Raw genomic sequence first — 17,397 nt, 5'->3', positions numbered from 1 at the left:
AAAACTCTCCTATGAATTTTCTTACAGGAGTCCCCACACTTTCCTGAGTTTTACCTTCAGGAACCCTACCAGGTTCTCCCTGTGAAGATCTGAGAAAAATCCTCTTCTACATCCCTCAAGAAGAAAGGAAAAGTGACCATTTTGAAATATGCCCAGGGTTCTCTCTTCTTAGCAAGGCCTGCCCTCAAGGAAAACTATTTGAGCAGAGCCTAACCAACCTGGAGAAGGGGAAATATACAACTCCAGCCCCTTCTAGCCTTCAGCGTGGAGATAGGGAAATACCCAGCCCAGGCTGACTAACAGACTGTGCCCTAATCATAGTAATCTATAACACGTCTCCTCACACCTTACCACTACATCACTAGAACTAAACTAAACTACACTAGAACTAAAAGAACTGCAAGACTCAGACACCAGGAATCTCTAGGGAATCCCAAAGACAACAGAGCAGACTGAAACAAGGACATCAGAGGACATTTTAGCCTCTGACACCTACAGCTACAGCAAAGAGTAAACACAGCCTAACCCCTAGCCAGATAAATATAAAACCTCACACTAAAGACCTATCTACCTCAGTCACTTTTATTCAATATATCATGTTTAGCTTTCAACAAAAAATTATAAGACATGCTAAACGGCAAAAAAGTACAGTCTGAAGAGACAAAACAAACAAGAACTAGACTCAAAAACAGCAGAGATTTTGGAATTATCACACTGAAAACTTAAAATAACAATGATTAATTTGCTAAAGTCTCTAATGGAAAAAGTGGACAATATGCAAGAATAGATAGGTAAGGTCAACAGAGAGATGGAAACTAAAGGGAAGAATCTAAAAGAAGTGGTAGAAATCAAAATGACTATAGCAGAAATGAAGAATGCCTTTGATGAGATTGTCAGTAAACTGGACACAGCTGAAAAAGTGATTAGGTGATTAGGGAGCTTGAAGATATGTCAACAGAAACTTCTCAAGCTAAAATCCAAAGATTTTTTTAAAGATTGAAAAAATAGATCAGAATATGAAAGAACTGTGAGACAATTATAAAAAGTATAAATATTCTAATGGGTATGCCAGAAAGAAAAGAAAAATAAATGGAAGAAAATTGGAAGTAATAATAGTTGAGAATTTTTCAAAAGTAATTATAGACTCCAATCCATCAACTAGGAAGCTCAGAGACCTCTAAGCAGGATAAATACCAAAAAAATTACACCCGGGCATATATTCAAACTGCAGACAGTCAAAAATAAAGAGAATATCTTGAAAGAAGCTAAGGTGGAGGAGGGGAGCAGGGGACACCTTTACTATTGCTATGGTTTGGATGTGGTTTGTCTCTACCAAAACTCATGTTGAAATTTAATTGCCAATGTCAACAGTATGGAGAGGTAATAGGACCTTTAAGAGGTGAGTCATAGGGACTTCGCCCTCACAAAGGGATTAATGCAGTTCTCCTGGGACTGGGTTAGTTCTCTCAAGAGTAGGTTGTTATAAGGTGGGTTGGCCCACTTCGTCTTTCTCTTTGCACGCACCTGCCTCCCCCTTCACTTCTCCACCATGCATGATGCAGCGGGTGGCCCACACCAGAAGCTGACCAAATTTAGCTGCCCAACCTCCAAAATTATAAACTAAAGCAACCTTTTTCCTTTGTAAAGTACTCAGTCTGTGGTATTCTGTTACAGCAACAGAAAACGAACTAAGACAGAAAATTGGTAACAACATTGGGGTTGATGCTATAACAAATGCCTGGAAATGTAAAAGCAGCTTTGGAACCAGGTAATGTGTAGTGTCTAGAATTTGAAGGAGTCGGCTAGAAAAACCCTATACTGTGAGCAGAGCATTGAGGGAGATTCTAGTGAGGGATCAGAAGAAGACAAAGACTAGGGAAAGTCTGGAACTTCTTAGAGATTATTTAAGTGGTTGTGACCAGAATTCTGATAGAAATATGGACAGGAAGAACCATTCTGATGAGGTCTCAGATGGAAATGAGGAACAAGGTATTGGAACCTGGAATAAAGGCATCCTTGTTATTCAGTTGCAGAGAACTTGGCTGCATTGTTTTTATGCCCTAGGGCTTTATGGAAGGCGGAATTTAAGAGAGACAACTAGAATATCTGGTGGAAGAAATAGCTAAGCAGGAAAGTGCTCAAGATACTGCATGGTTACTTCTGGCCACTTACAGTGAGTTACAGGAGCAGGGGAAAGCAGAGTGTAAAGATTTGGAAAATTCAGTGTGGCCATGTAGGGAGCAAAAAGTCAATACAAAGATGCAGCCAGACTATTGTTTGCTAAAAAGATTAGCAGACAGAAAGAAGCTAGGTTTTGCTCATCAGGACAATGGGAGAATGGTCCTGAAGGCATTATAAAGATCTTTGAGGCTGCTCCTCTCATCTTGGACTCAGAACCTTAGGGCCTTGAGGGCAGAACAGGCTTGCTGCCTAGGGCCACCTCCAGACTGTTCCCCACATCCCAGGGAAGCAGTTGCCCTGGCAAGGCTCACATGACCCCAGGTGTAATTCGGGCCACTGCTCAAGAGGGCACACACCATAAGCCTTGGTGGTGTCCATGTGGTGCTAACTCTGCAGGTGTGCAGAATACAAGAGCTTTGGAGGCATGGTTTTCTCCACCTAGATCTCAAAGGATGTCACAGAAAGCCCACGGGACCAGCAGAAACTTGCCACAGAGGTAGAGCTGCCACAGAGTTCCCACCATATCAATGCCTAGTAGAACCATGGGAGTGGGGCTGCCACTGGGACCCCAGAACTGTTGAGCCACCAGCAGCATGCAACACCTGCCTGAGACAGTTACAGGCACTGGGAGAGTGGCCACATAGTCTGTACCCAGCAAAGCCATAGCGGTGGGGCTGCCTGAAGACTCAGGAGTTTACCCCAACCCCAGTGTGTCCAAGAGGTGACATATGGTGTGAAAGACTATTCTGGAGCTTTAAAAATTTAATGTCTTCCCTGCTGGATTTGGGGCTTGCTTGGGGCCTGTTACTCCCTTCTTCCTGCCTACCTCTTCCTTTTAGAAGGGGAATGTCTACCCCATGCCTATCTCACCATTGTAGTTTGGAAGTAGATAATTTGTTTTGATTTTACAGGCTCACAGCTGGAAGCAGTCTGCTTTAGTCTCAGATGAGACTTTGGACTTTTGAGTTAATGCTGGAACACATTAAGATTTATGGTACTATTGAGATGGAATGATTGTATTTTGCATGTGAGAAGTATGTGAGTTTTGGGGGTCCAGGGGCAGAATACTATGGAAGTGGTTTGTCCCCTCTAAAATTAATGCTGAAATTAAATTCCCAACATAACAGTACTGAGAGGTAATGGAGCCGTTAAGAGGTGTTTGAGTCATGGGGGCTCTGCCCTCATGAAGGGATTAATGCGGTTCTTAAGAGACTGGATTAGTTCTTTCAAGAGCAGGTTGTTACAAAACAGGTCAGCCAGCTTCATCTTTCTCTTTGCATGCACCCATGGTCCACCATGTTATTACACAGCATGAAGCCCTCTTCAGAAACTGAGCAGATGTAGATGCCCAATCTTGGACCTCCCAGCCTCCAGAATCATGAGCTAAATAAACCTCTTTTCTTTATAAATTACTCAGTCTCAGGTATTCTGTTATAGCAACAGAAAGTGGACACCTATAGAAGAACAAGGTTAAGAATTACATCAGACTTATCTTCAGAAACCATGCAAGCAAGAAAAGAGTGGAATGAAATATTTAAAGTGCTGAAAGAAAAAAATATCAACAATAGAATAGAATAATCAGTTTACAGAAAAGGAAATACAAACATTTCTTAAACATTAATAACTATGCTTAACTCTGTTCATAATAAAAGAAATGCAAAATAAAATTACATCAATATACCATTTTTAGCCTATAAATTTGACAAATATTAAAAAGTTATATAAAACAATATGTGTTAGAGTTTGGGAAATCAGGCACTCTAATATACTACTAATGGAGATTAAATTGACACAGTCTTTATGAAGAGCACTTTGGTAAAATCTATTAAAATTCCAAGTACATGGACCCTTGGACTCAGCAATTTCTCTTCTAGAATTTACGTTATATATGTCTATGCATGCATATGCAGACTTTTATGTGCCAAAGATTCCACACTGTGGCACTCTATACAGTAGCGAAAGATTGCAAACAGCTGTGTGTCCATCCAGAATGACTGATTAAGTGAATTACAGTAAACCTATAAAATAGAATCTTATGTAGCTTGTTAAAAGAAAAAATAGGGAAGCTTTTTGGATAGTGGTAGGGATTAATTGTCAAAGAATATTAAGGAAAAAATACATTCCAGAAGAGTGTATATGGCATGCCTTATTTGTATCCTAAGGAGAAACCTTTTATATTTATACATATCAGTAATATCTCCAGAAACATATATAAGAAACAATTACAACAGCATTGGCTACCTTTGGAAAAGAAAATTGCATAGCTGGGGGACAAGGCGTGGGAGGGAGAATTTTCACTAATACACTTTATTGAATGTGTTATTTATTTACAAAAATAATAAAGTTTAACTTTTCACTATTATTACATATTCCTGTCTGAAAGGCATGGAAGTACCATGCCTGATGCAAAGATCTTGTGAGCAACTGCAGAAAATGACATAATTAGGGAGCACTTTCCCCCACATACCCCAGGTGTGTGCATGGATACATCTCCGAAAATGTGAAGACAAACTCATCAGGCCTTTGGGGAGCTTGGCAAGGTCTGCTGCTTTCCAGCTTTCCACTGTAACTCTTGTCTTTCCTCAGCCATGTCTGGCTTTTTTTTTCCTGGTCATTTTACTTTCTAGCCTCTCTCTATTTCTCCTGTCAAAAAAGATGGCTGACAAAGCCCTGGGATTTTCTTCACTTATCACTGTCCCCATATTACATCACATTGCTGGTTCAAACTGTCCCATCTCCCTCTCTGAGTCCAGCCTGATGGCCAGTAAAGCTGCCCAGCTTCCTGATGTGACCTCCTCCTCTTCATTTGCCTCTTCATTTCCATTGCACTTCACTCTTCTTTTGGTCTCACTCCAGCATAACCCATTTTAACTTTTCCTACTTTCATAATATAGATGGGGCATAAATAATAATATTAACAACAATTATATTTATCAAATACACACTATGTAAAAGAACTTCACATATTTCATTTAACTTCATTACACTACAAGTTCAACATTGTTATCTCTATTAGTTAAAGCTGAGGAAACTGGGGCTTTGAGAGGTTAAGATGCTTGACCAAAGTCACACAGCTAGGAAGTAATGGGCAGGATTCTAACACAGATCTTTCAACACCATAGCCTGTGTTCTCTGCTACTTAGTCCACTGGAATGTAAGAATGAGTTAAAGCAGTTTTTTTTAATCTATTACGTAGCTAGCTTCCACTGAACATGTGAGCGGAGAAGACTTTCTTACTTTTTTGCAAAGACATCTTTAATATTTGCTTCTCTTTTGAAGTTAGTGGGATGCTCCCAGTATTCTCCAAGGATGAGTAGGAACAAACTGCTTTTCACTGGTACTGCCATCATCTCCTGAAATTAATGTCCAACTACGTACATCCAGGGTCAGTTCTCAACCTACTCAATTGACCTCTCGGCAGAATTTGGCAGACTTAATCCCTCTCTTGGCTTTCATATGCTTATTTTTTCATCTGTCATCTATGACAGATGAACACATTCTAGGTTTTACTCCTACATCACAGATCGTTTTTTCCGTTTCCTTGGCTGCATCTTCTTCTCAATATCCAGCATTTGGAGTATCCAACAGCTCTGTTTTCAGGGTTCTTCTTTTCCCTATACTCACTTCCCAGATTTCATCTACTCCCAAAGCTTTACATGCCATCCACTCACTGAGGCTTCCCAAACTACATCTCTAGCCCTTCCCTACTCCAGTGTTTACCCAGCTGCTTCCCTGACACCTCCGCTCCATATTCTAGGAGACCTGCAAAACCCAACAATACATACCTGGAGCTCTTGCATCTCCACAGCCTCTCTCCCCAGAAACCTGGGCTGCAGGTGTTCCCTGTCTCAGCAAACAGCACCGCATCCACTCAGCCACCCATGCAAACCCCAACAGTTCTGCTTTCAAAGAAGATCCAAAGTCCAACCATGTTCTGCCATCTTCTCTGATCCCATGGTGGCTCTAGCCACCAGCATCTCCCCCTGTGGATTACTGCAGTGACTTCCTCACAGTCTCCCTGGATAGGCGTCAAACCCACATGCCACACAACATAAGCCCAGTCTATCGCTCTGTTACCCTCATACCGGATTACCTACAAGAGCATTCACTAGCTGACTCCACCTCCCGCTATCATTCCATCTCCTACCACCATCTCACGTGTTCACACTACTCCTGCAAAATGGGTCTCCCTGTTTTTTCTCAAGATCTGGAACGTTTCCATCTGCTAGCAGACCTACTGGGGGATTGCTTTTCCCTCAACTGTCCATGCCTTTTTCCCTGGCTTCAGTAAGCTCTCTATGGAATTGTGACTGCTCAGAGAGGTTTGCTTTGATCACTCTAAAATAATCCTTCACCTATCACCTACTATCACTATTTTCCTTCATAATATTATAAGTATTATATATTAAATTAATTGTAATATAATTATTATATATCTAACTAGTTATAATAATTTTTACTGGCTGACATATTTACAATGATAAGACAGGCAAGGACCTCGCTGTTGTGGAGCTTACATTTTGTGGAGAGAAACAATAAGCAAGTCAACAGGATAATTCTAGATAGTACTGAGTGCTATTAGGAAAATAAAACAGTGCTGTGGAAGGGGCTGAAGCTTTGCTTTCTAGGGCTTTCTGAGAAGATGACACTTAAATTGAGACTTGAATGACAAAAAGGAGCTGGCCTTGCTAAGATTTCAGTATAGTCGTCCACCCTTATCCCAGGTTTCACTTTCTGCAGTTTCCACCACCCGCTGACATCTGAAGTCTGAAAATATTAAATGGAAAAATCCAGAAATAAACAATTCATGAGTTTTAAATTGCATGCACCATTCTGAGTAGCATGATGAACTCTTGTGCTGTCCTGCTCCATTCCGCCTGAGGCATGAGTCATCCCCTTGCCCAGCAGATGCATGCTGTATACACTCCCCACCCATTAGTCACTCGTAGCCATCTTGGTTATCAGAAAACATGAGTATATGTAGGGTTTGGTACTATCCACGGGGTCAGGCATCCACTGGGTGTCTTGAAATGTATGGCCCATGGTTAACAGGGGAACCTTTGTACAGGGAATTCCAGTGGAGGGATTACTGAGCACAAAGACCATGAGGCAGGAATGAGCTTGAAATGATCAAAGAATAGAAAGAAATAGCAGTGGCAGAATAAGTGAGGAGCCCAGTCGTGTGAAACGAGTCGGAGATAGACATGGACCATATCTCGTAGTACCATATAAGCCTTGCTCAGGAGTTGAGTGTTACTCTAAGCATGGTGAGCAACCCTTGTGATGGATGACGATTCCCTTAAAAGAATCCACAGGCTGCACAATGCAGTTTCTTCACTTTTCAAACAGAACAAATGCTAAGCAGTGTTGAATAACAATCATGAAATCCTCTGCCTGGAACTTGAGTAACTCTCATTAGAATCACAGTCTTTACCTTTCCCAATACTTTCTATCACTAATTATCCTTTTCCAAAACCCTATCTCCCTCCCAACACCCCCCACACACACCTGGTTCCTCTGCTTCTACTTCTCTCCAACTTAAACCTAATTTATAATCCGACTCTCACTGAGTTATCTGCCTATATTCTCTTCTTCTCCATTTGTTTCCAACTCTTGCCTTTGTTATCCTCATTAATGAGGATACTATGAATAATGGAGCATTGGTCTGCTTTACTTCTTATAGTTTTATGCTTTTTTGTGATTCAATGAATAATTACCAAGTTACCATTTTTGTAGTAAGTATGACCTTAAAACATAAGACATAGGAAGAATAGAAAAACTATAAAAGTATAAATTATATTGATATGGTTTGGCTGTGCCCCACCCAAGTCTCATCTTGAATTGTAGCTCACATAATCCCCATATATTATGAGAGGGACCCAGCAGGAGGTAATTGAATCATGGGGGCAGGTTTTTCCCATGCTATTCTCATAATAGAATAAGTCTCATGAGATCTGATGGTATTATAAAGGGCGGTTCCCCGGCACATGCTCTCTTGCCTGCCGCCATGTAAGATGTGCCTTTGCTTCTCCTTCACCCTCCACCGTGATTGTGAGGCCTCTCTAGCCATGTGGAACTGTGACTCCATTAAGCCTCCTTTTCTTTATAAATTATCCAATCTCAGGTATTTCTTCATAGCAGTATGAAAATGGACTAATACAATGGATATTAAGAATAAAATAATATCAGATGTGACTTAAATGTGTACAAGTCATATATCAAATATGATGAAGGATGAGTGAAAAAGAAAGAAAAATGGTAAAAAGAAAATTATTAAAGAAGAGCATCTAACTCCTATTATCTCTCTGCCAACAAAAATTTCATATCATTAAATAATTGCCTTTATAATTAGATCAGAATTTCTTTAGGGGAAAATATCCAGAAAAAATTTTCTGAGCACATACTTTGTATAAGACATTGTACTAGAGTTTGTTTGGGACATGCATACTACATATAAAACATGGTTCTGAATCTCAACTTTTATTTGTTATGGCCTGTATTTACTTACATTTGTGCTTTCTTTTATTCCACACTGAATTTCCCTATTTTCATCTGGAATCATTTTTTTTCTTCTATTTAAAAAACTCTTTGTGGTTTTTCTTTTAGTGAGGGCTACCAGCCACAAATTCCCTCCATTTTTGCTAGTCTGAAATGTGTTCATTTCACCTTTTAAGGACATTTTCACCAGGAATAGAATTCTTGGTTGACAGTTATTTTACTTTATTATTTTAAAGTTGTCATCTTATTGTCTTTAACTTCTGTATCTGTGGATGAGATGTCAGCTGCAAGTCTTATTGTTGTACTTTGCAGGTGATGTGTCTTTTATCTCTGGATGCTTTTAAGATTTTTCTTTTTTAGTATTTAACTTTCAGCAGGTTTAATGTGTTGTCCCTAGATAAAATTTGTGTTTACTCTCCTAGGAGTTTTCTGAGCTTCTTAAATCTATAATTAATGTCCTCTGAATTTGGAAAAATTTAATCATGTTTTTAAATATTGCTTCATCCCTTTTCTCTCTCTTCTCTTTTTCTGGGACTATAATTATGTGTATGTTGGACCTTTTTTTCTATTAGTTTTTCTCACTGTGCTTCAGTTGGGACTTCAGTTTGTGTATTTTCTATTGACCTGTCTTCCAGTTCACTAACCTTAGTCTCTACTTTGTCCCTTCTGCTGTTAAACCAATTCACTTAGCTCTTAATTTCAGATATTGGCTTTTTTCAATTCTAGACTGTCTACTTGAATTTTTAATAGATTCTCATTCTCTGGTGAAATTTTCCATATTTTCGTCTGTTGTTTCCATCTCTCTCTTTCTTTTCTTGAACATTATTTTTAAAGTTCCTATCTACTAATTCTAATAGTTTTATCATGTGGTCTGGTTCTGCTGTCTTTTTTGTCTCTTTATTATCATGCACATTTTCTTGTACTTTTGTATGTCTATATATTGTTAATTGTTATGCCAGACATTGTGCATAAAAGTGGAGCCACCAAACCATGTTATATTCCACCAGAGAATGTGTCTTTTTTTTTCCTTCTTTTAGACAGACTGGGTGAGAGGCTATGCACCTTAATCCAATCAGGAATTGAATTGAGGTGGGGCTTGGTTACAGTTTTAGTAAGACTTCATAGATCTTTGGTTCATCCCTGTCCCTTGGGTATACCCCTCTCAGACCTTTGATGGAGAGTCTGGTGGGTATCAATTTCCTCAATCATGAAAGATTGTGAGAAATGTATCTCTACCCTTCAGAGGTTTTCAAACAAGCTCACCAGTCTCCTGGCCCCGGAAAATTTCAACATCTGGCAAAGGTCTTAATGGGGAAAACAGTCATGTGCTTATAGCAGGCTCTACCCTCTAGATGCTTCTTGTTTCTTAAGAGCATAAGCCTGTGGGAGGTTTCATTTTACTTTAGACATTTTCAGACTCACTCCTCGGTATCTTGTAAAGTCCAAGAACTCAGAAAATATCTTGTGAAGAAAATCAGTTCTGAGTTTGAACCACTCCAAGTTTCCAATTCATCACACTAGCCTCACGTTGGTTAAAGCTTTGCTGGTTTGTCTTTCCTTCACAAGGACCCTCTGCCTGAACCAAGTCCAATCCTCATCCTGTGTCCAGGATCAACAAATGCCCCTAGGGCCAAAGAAAACTGTCAATCATCAGCTTACCTTGGAACAGTTTACCCCTCTCTGTAATTTTAGCTCATCTAGTACTCGTTTCTTCCACAACTCTCAGGTTTTAAAAAATATGATTTTTGTAATTTCTCCAGTTTTTTCTAGTTGCTGCAGTAGAACTAGCTATATTCTATCCAAAAGTAGTAGTCTCATATTTTATTTTTGAAAATGAGAAAATTATTATATCAAGTATTCTACCCTATATTTCATAGTGTTTTATAGTTTTCAAAGGCCTTGCACATTCACTTTCTCAATAAAACCTTTTCCTAAGTCTGTGATGTAGGTAAACCAGGGTATCTGAGTCAGCAGAGAGTCTCTGAAGTCACACCACCTGAGCACAACTGTCCATGTGAAAGGCAGGGAGGGCTTTTCCAGGTTCTTCTGAGGCCTAGCTTGTCTACACTCTCTCTAATTTAAGGACATATACATAAATAGAAGAAATGCACTAGGCCAAAATCTTCAACAGAGTTGCTTTTTTTTTTGAGACAGATCTCGCTCTGTCGCCCAGGCTGGAGTGCAGTGGCGCGATCTCGGCTCACTGCAAGCTCCGCCTCCCAGGTTCATGCCATTCTCCTGCCTCAGCCTCCGGAGTAGCTGGGACTACAGGCGCCCGCCACCACACCCGGCTAATTTCTTTTGTATTTTTAGTAGAGACGGGGTTTCACCGTGTTATCCAGGATGGTATCTGTCTCCTGACCTCGTGATCCGTCCGCCTCAGCCTCCCAAAGTTCTGGGATTACAGGCGTGAGCCACCGAGCCCGGCCCAGAGTTGCACTTATTAGTCTTTGTTTATAAGACTGCATGAATGCAGATTCGAGCTGAGATTTAAACTTACTCCTGAATCATTTTCCTAGATCTTGGTAAAGGCAAGTTCATAATATTTATAAAACCATCACCTCAGGCAGCATTTTCCACTGGGTTGCTGACTGGAGAGAACAGGAAATCAAAAATAGCATTCCAAATTTTTCTAAGGCTAAAATTGTACCCTGTATGAACCTTCTGGCAGGTTAACTCCGTGACTTATGCTGGTGTGTAGGCTCACCTCCTAACATCTATCCTGGCTTCTCAATATTACATAGGACTGAGAGGATATGTTTGTGCTTACCACCTCTCTAGAGAGCCTTACCAAGCTGAAGTTTCAAAGAAGTGGAATGGAAAACATCCTTACGTATCTTCTAGATAGCTTTTGTAATCCAGCAAAGCTCCTTTCATTGTGCAGGGTAGTTGCTACTCAGCTGAGCTAGTCTTTGGCATAGCGATCAGCAGCCCTTATGTATTGTCCTCTGAAGGAGGACCAGAACGTCTCAATGCTCAAAACCTCCACCAGCACTAGCACAATTTTTTTAAAAATCAGAGGGGAGAGGAGAGCAAATCTTGTTCATGAACTAGCCAGACCAAGAAGACACACAGTTAATTTCAAGTTGTATATAAGCCTTTACTCAAGAATAATTGAATAGCATGGGTACCAAGAAAAGTAGGAAAATATGCCACTCTTGCAATACACAGGAGCTACTTGAGGACAAAGGAAGTGAAACTGTGTTTTAAAATGCCAGTAATGGTAATCCTTCCTTCTCTGCAGTGCTATAATCTGATCATGTACATATTTTAATTATCACTCATATTTGGGATTGTTGAGTTTAGTGTTTGTTTGTTTCAATGTGTTGAACACACAATGAAAAGACAATGAAAATTTCTTAGTATTTCTAAGCAGAACCAAACAGGGAGGGAAATCTGTATTTTGAATCACTTCTTGCACCTGAAACATAAGAACTCCCCTGATGGTGCCCAATATTAATCTTTGAACATTTCCTTAACAATAACCAAAATGTATGTATTCATTCATTTATTTTATTTTGCATCCTTCCACTTGGATTACATGACCCTGTAGTACTTTTTCTGTTGGCTTCAAATATGTACCTGATTATGTGGAGTTCAAATGGTATAATTACCAGTGACTGACTCCAAGCCTACAGACTTCATGGCTTTATCCTCAGTAAAAAATTATTGAAATGTGAACTAAATTTGAAAACATGAACAGAAGTGAAACATCAGTAGTCACGCATCTAAAAGAAAAAAGGTATGGTTCACTTTGCTAAGTTTAAGAAACTCTCATAAACTAGATGGTAAAAAATGAAGCCACATGTTGAGTCTTGGCACATGTTCTTTTTCACAGAGCAAGATGAAAAGGAATGCTCTCCCATAGTTCATATATCCCTTCATCCACAAAAGAAAACAACGTAAGGCCGGGTGCGGTGGCTCAAGCCTGTAATCCCAGCACTTTGGGAGGCCGAAGCAGGCAGATCAAGAAGTCAGGAAATCAAGACCATCCTGGCTAGCACGGTGAAACCCCGTCTCTACTAAAAATATGAAAAAATTAGCCGGGCGCGGTGGCGGGCGCCTGTAGTCCCAGCTACTCGGGAGGCTGAGGCAGGAAAATGGCGTGAACCCGGGAGGCGGAGCTTGCAGTGAGCCGAGATCGCGCCACTGCACTCCAGCCTGGGCGGCAGAGCGAGACTCCGCCTCAAAAAAAAAAAAAAAGAAAAAGAAAATATAACGTAAAATTAGCAAAAAGAGGCAGTACAGCAAGGTAGAAGGAGCGTATTCTTCAGAGGTTCTCCCATCCGGCAGATTGAGGGAGCTCTTTATTTGTTCCAAGACCAATTTCCTCATTGGCACACTGGGAACGGTAATAACGCTCACCACATACTTGTTTTGAGGATAAAAAGAGATAGACCATGTGAAATGCATAGTTCAGTGTATGGCATCCAAACACAGCTCAATAAGCCTACATCTTTTTTGTTGTTTTGTTTTGTTTTTTTCAGGCGGAGTTTCGATCTTGTCGCCCAGGCTGCAATGCAATGCTGCGATCTCGGCTCACTGCAACCTCCGCCTCTCGGGTTCAAGCAATTATCCTGCCTCAGCCTCCTGAGTAGCTGGGACTACAGGCGCCCACCACCATGCCCGGCTAATTTTTGTATTTTTAGTAGAGACGGGGTTTCACCATATTAGCCAGGCTGGTCTCGAACTCCTGACCTCAGATGATCTGCTCCCCTCGGCCTAGCTACATCTTATTAATAAGCATAAACTAATTTTATCTCAACAGTAAAGATATTTTCAATAGGAAAAAAAGAAAAAAAATGATGTATATGAAGACTAATAACGAGGGGGAAAGCAGGGAAAAAACGTAAGTATAGTATGATTACCACTAAACAAAGATAAATGCATAATAAGGTAGGGGTTCAGGAGGGAAACCTGAAGGAAATACCCCAAAATACTGGCACTAGTGATGTCAGGATCATGAATTTACTGGTGTTTTTGCTTTGTTTTCCAGAGTTTCAGCTGTGTGATTCTATTACTCAAATAATGAAATACACATATATATTTACACATGTATTCAATACATATATACATATATTCAATACATATATATGAAATACAAATGTATGTGTATATATGTGTGTATTTCATTATTTAAGTAATAGAATCATTTAAGTAATAGAATCACACTACTGAAACTCTGGAAAACAGGGCAAAATAGAACAGAATCACAGGACTTTATATATATATATATGTTTATATATATATGTCTATATATATATGTCTATACATATATATAAAGCTAAATAATGCCTTTTTAAAACAAATTACCTACTTCCTAGCAGATAGTGTTTTATATGCTCCAGAGCTGTTTGCAATTATTGCTAACAATGATTTCATTCAATCCATCATTTACTGAGAGCCATATCCCAGCCTCCAGGAGGAAACAAAATAAATGAGATAAAGTCCCGTCCTCATTATGTCCCTTGATAATAACAATGGTGGTGGTTCTCCCATTGTAAATCAGTGTGAGCATTAAGGGTCACTGTATCAGTCAGGATGCCACCAGGGAAACAGAGAAAGAGGAAGAAGGAGGGGGCTGGGGAGGAGGAGGGAGAGAGAGAGGGGAAAAGGAAAAGAAAGGAGAGGGAGAGGGAGGTTTATTACAAGAAATTAACTGGCTTACCGAAATCTGTAGGGCAGGCTGCAGGCTGCAGGCTGGCAGTTCTGGGACAGAAGCTAACCCTGCAGTCCACAGGCAGAATTTTTCCTTCCTCAGGGAAACCTTGGTTCTGATTTTAAGGTCTTTCAACTGATCTGATGAAGCTCACCCAGATTATCTAGGATCGTCTGCCTTACTAAAGTCAAACGAACACTCATCTCTATCTCGGCAGATGTGATCAACATCTACAATCAGTTGACTTTGCATCATTAGTTCTGAGGTTGAGACACCCTAGTCTACACCATCCTTGTAGGAGTTCGGCCACAAATTACAGTCTCGTTCCTCAAAAAACAGGTCTGCAAAGAAAATAAACTTGTTGGCCAGGCGCAGTGGCTCACACCTGTGATCCCAGCACTTTGGGAGGCTGAGGCGGGCAGATCACGAGGTCGGGAAATCGAGACCATCCTGACTAGCTGCAGAATGGCGTGAACCCGGGAGGCGGAGCTTGCAGTGGGCCGAGATGGCGCCACTGGACTCCCGCCTGGGTGACAGAGCGAGACTCTGTCTCAATAAAAGAAAAAGAAAATAAACTTGTTAAATTTTCTTAACCTTTAGTTTGCTGGCTTTGCTGAAAGTGCCTTTTGTGTCAAAGTTTTGAGTGATTTTGGAAGGGTAAGAGGAAAAAATCGTGTCCTTTTTTAAAACAGGTGAAAATACTAATTTCCTGAATTAGTGAAAGTTATTGTTACTGCCTATAGTAAAAGCATTAAAACTTTAAATACAATCACATGTATAACATGTCTACCAACCTGCCGTTAATTAGTTTATCAGGAAACATAGTTTATGTTATTAATTTTTTTTTTTTTTTTGAGATGGAGTCCCGTTCTGTCGCCCAGGCTGGAGTGCAGTGGCGCGATCTCGGCTCACTGCAAGCTCCGCCTCCCGGGTTCACGACATTCTCCTGCCTCAGCCTCCTGAGTAGCTGGGACTACAGGCACCTACCACCACGCCTGGCTAATTTTTTGTATTTTTAATAGAGACGGGGTTTCACCGTGTTAGCCAGGATGGCCTCGATCTCCTGACCTCGTGATCCACTGGCTTCGGCCTCCCAAAGAGCTGGGATTACAGGCGTGAGCCACTGCGCCCAGCCTATGTTATTAATTTTTAAAGTTACATATCTCCGGAGATTTATTCAATTTTCACTTGACATTTTTGAATTGAACTTACACATTAAACACCATTTGCTCATTTCAAAATCTCTTTTGTCTCAAAAGAGGAATAAGAGGAAGTTTTTTTAGATTGTAACAGTAGCATCCTCATGCCCCATGTGTCCAATGTATAATGAACACAGCACATATTTTCTGCTAACAATCCAATATGTTTGTTGAGAGGAAAAATTGGCTGAAAATACACTGAAAAGCATGTATTTTTCATTGCCCATGATATTAGTCAGAATTCTCCACAGAAACAGAATCAACAGGAGATATATAAAGATATATATAATAAGCTAGAGAGATTTTCTTATAAAGAATCGGTTCACATGATTATGCAGACTGGCAAGTCCAAGATCTGCAGAGCAGATTTCCCGCTTCAAGGCCAAAGGCCAGAAGCTGCTGTAGAACCAGGAAGGGGCCATGTCTCAATCCAAAGGCCATCAGGCCCGCAATTCGGCCACACAGATATATTCTAAATGATTGCTTTTTAGTGTGGTAGAAGATTGTTTAGTGCCATGGAAAGGTTTCTTAAATACTATTGACCAGGTCTCTGCAATCATAGACATGAATGTTTATAGTACCTTGAGATATAACTCATCCCAGCCTATAAATTTGAACCCAGTTAGAGTGCTCAGGTCCTCACTTACTAAACCCATAAAATAGAATCATATGGCCAGAAGGAAACTTTGTGATCATCTCATCCAAATCCCCGCTAAGAGTGACTTAAGGAACAGTAAGGCAGTGCTTTCAATTTATCTGAAATTATTGATGGAGACTTGATTCCAGACACTTTTAAAGTAATAAGCATTTAAATATGAAATCAGGATCTGATGCTGACCACAAAATGAATAGGGAAAGTACAGACCTGTGTTGGTAAATAATGTTCCACTATTGCTATTTTTTCTGAAAGTCAAGATGGCATAGGGAGACCAGTCGACACTCTGTAGAGACTGTTGCTAGCATCCAAAGGAAATTCCAGGAGTAGGTCTTACTCCTGGCTGTACCTCAGGACTATGTGTGGAGTGACATAAAATTACAGTTGCATGGGACCCATCTCAGACTTACTGCTGAGATTTCCCTCCCCTTCAGTAGAGAATGCTAATTGAGAATTCACTGAAACTTTTGGCTTGCTTTATTTAGACGTGCCAAGGCAAAAAGCAGAAAAAAAACACTGGACATGCAAATTACAATTTTTTTAAAGGCCTACAAGTTCAAAAGCAGTGTTTTCAGAATTACTTTTCTCCACCTGTAAAATAAAGTTTTGATCAGAGAAAGTCTTATAAAGTCACTTCTGAAGATAATCACCAAAAAGTAAAAATACAGAGTATTGATTTTAAGTTTATCTATGTCTGGGACCAACCTTTCAGAATTCAGTTATAAACTTAGAATACATCTATCTGTTCACAATACTTATATGTCTAAATGCCACCCCATTGGAGTTTAAAGCTCTGATATTGACAAAAATATTCTTCCCGTACCATGTGGTATGCATGAACTGCAACAAACTCCAAAGAAACACTGGTTCTTATTGCCAGGATATGACTTTTAATTATGAATCTGAAGAAAATGTGGCACATATACACCAAGGAATACTATGCAGCTGTAAAAAAGGATGAGTTCATGTCCTTTGTAGGGACATGGATGAAGCTAGAAACCATCATTCTGAGCAAACTATCCCAAGGACAGAAAACCAAACACCGCATATTCTCACTCATAGGTGGGAATTGAACAATGAGAACACTTGGACACAGGTGTTCACACCAGGGCCTGTTGTGGGGTGGGGGGAGGGGGGGAGGGATAAGAACTTCTCCTACTGGTGTAAATGTAAATGACGAGTTACTGGGCGCAGCAGCACACCAA

The sequence above is a fragment of the Homo sapiens genome, chromosome 13 (genome assembly GCF_000001405.40).
Source record: "Homo sapiens chromosome 13, GRCh38.p14 Primary Assembly".
Taxonomy (NCBI): Eukaryota; Metazoa; Chordata; class Mammalia; order Primates; family Hominidae; genus Homo; species Homo sapiens.
The sequence above is the reverse complement of the archived record's forward strand: the minus strand, read 5'-3'. Positions refer to the sequence as shown.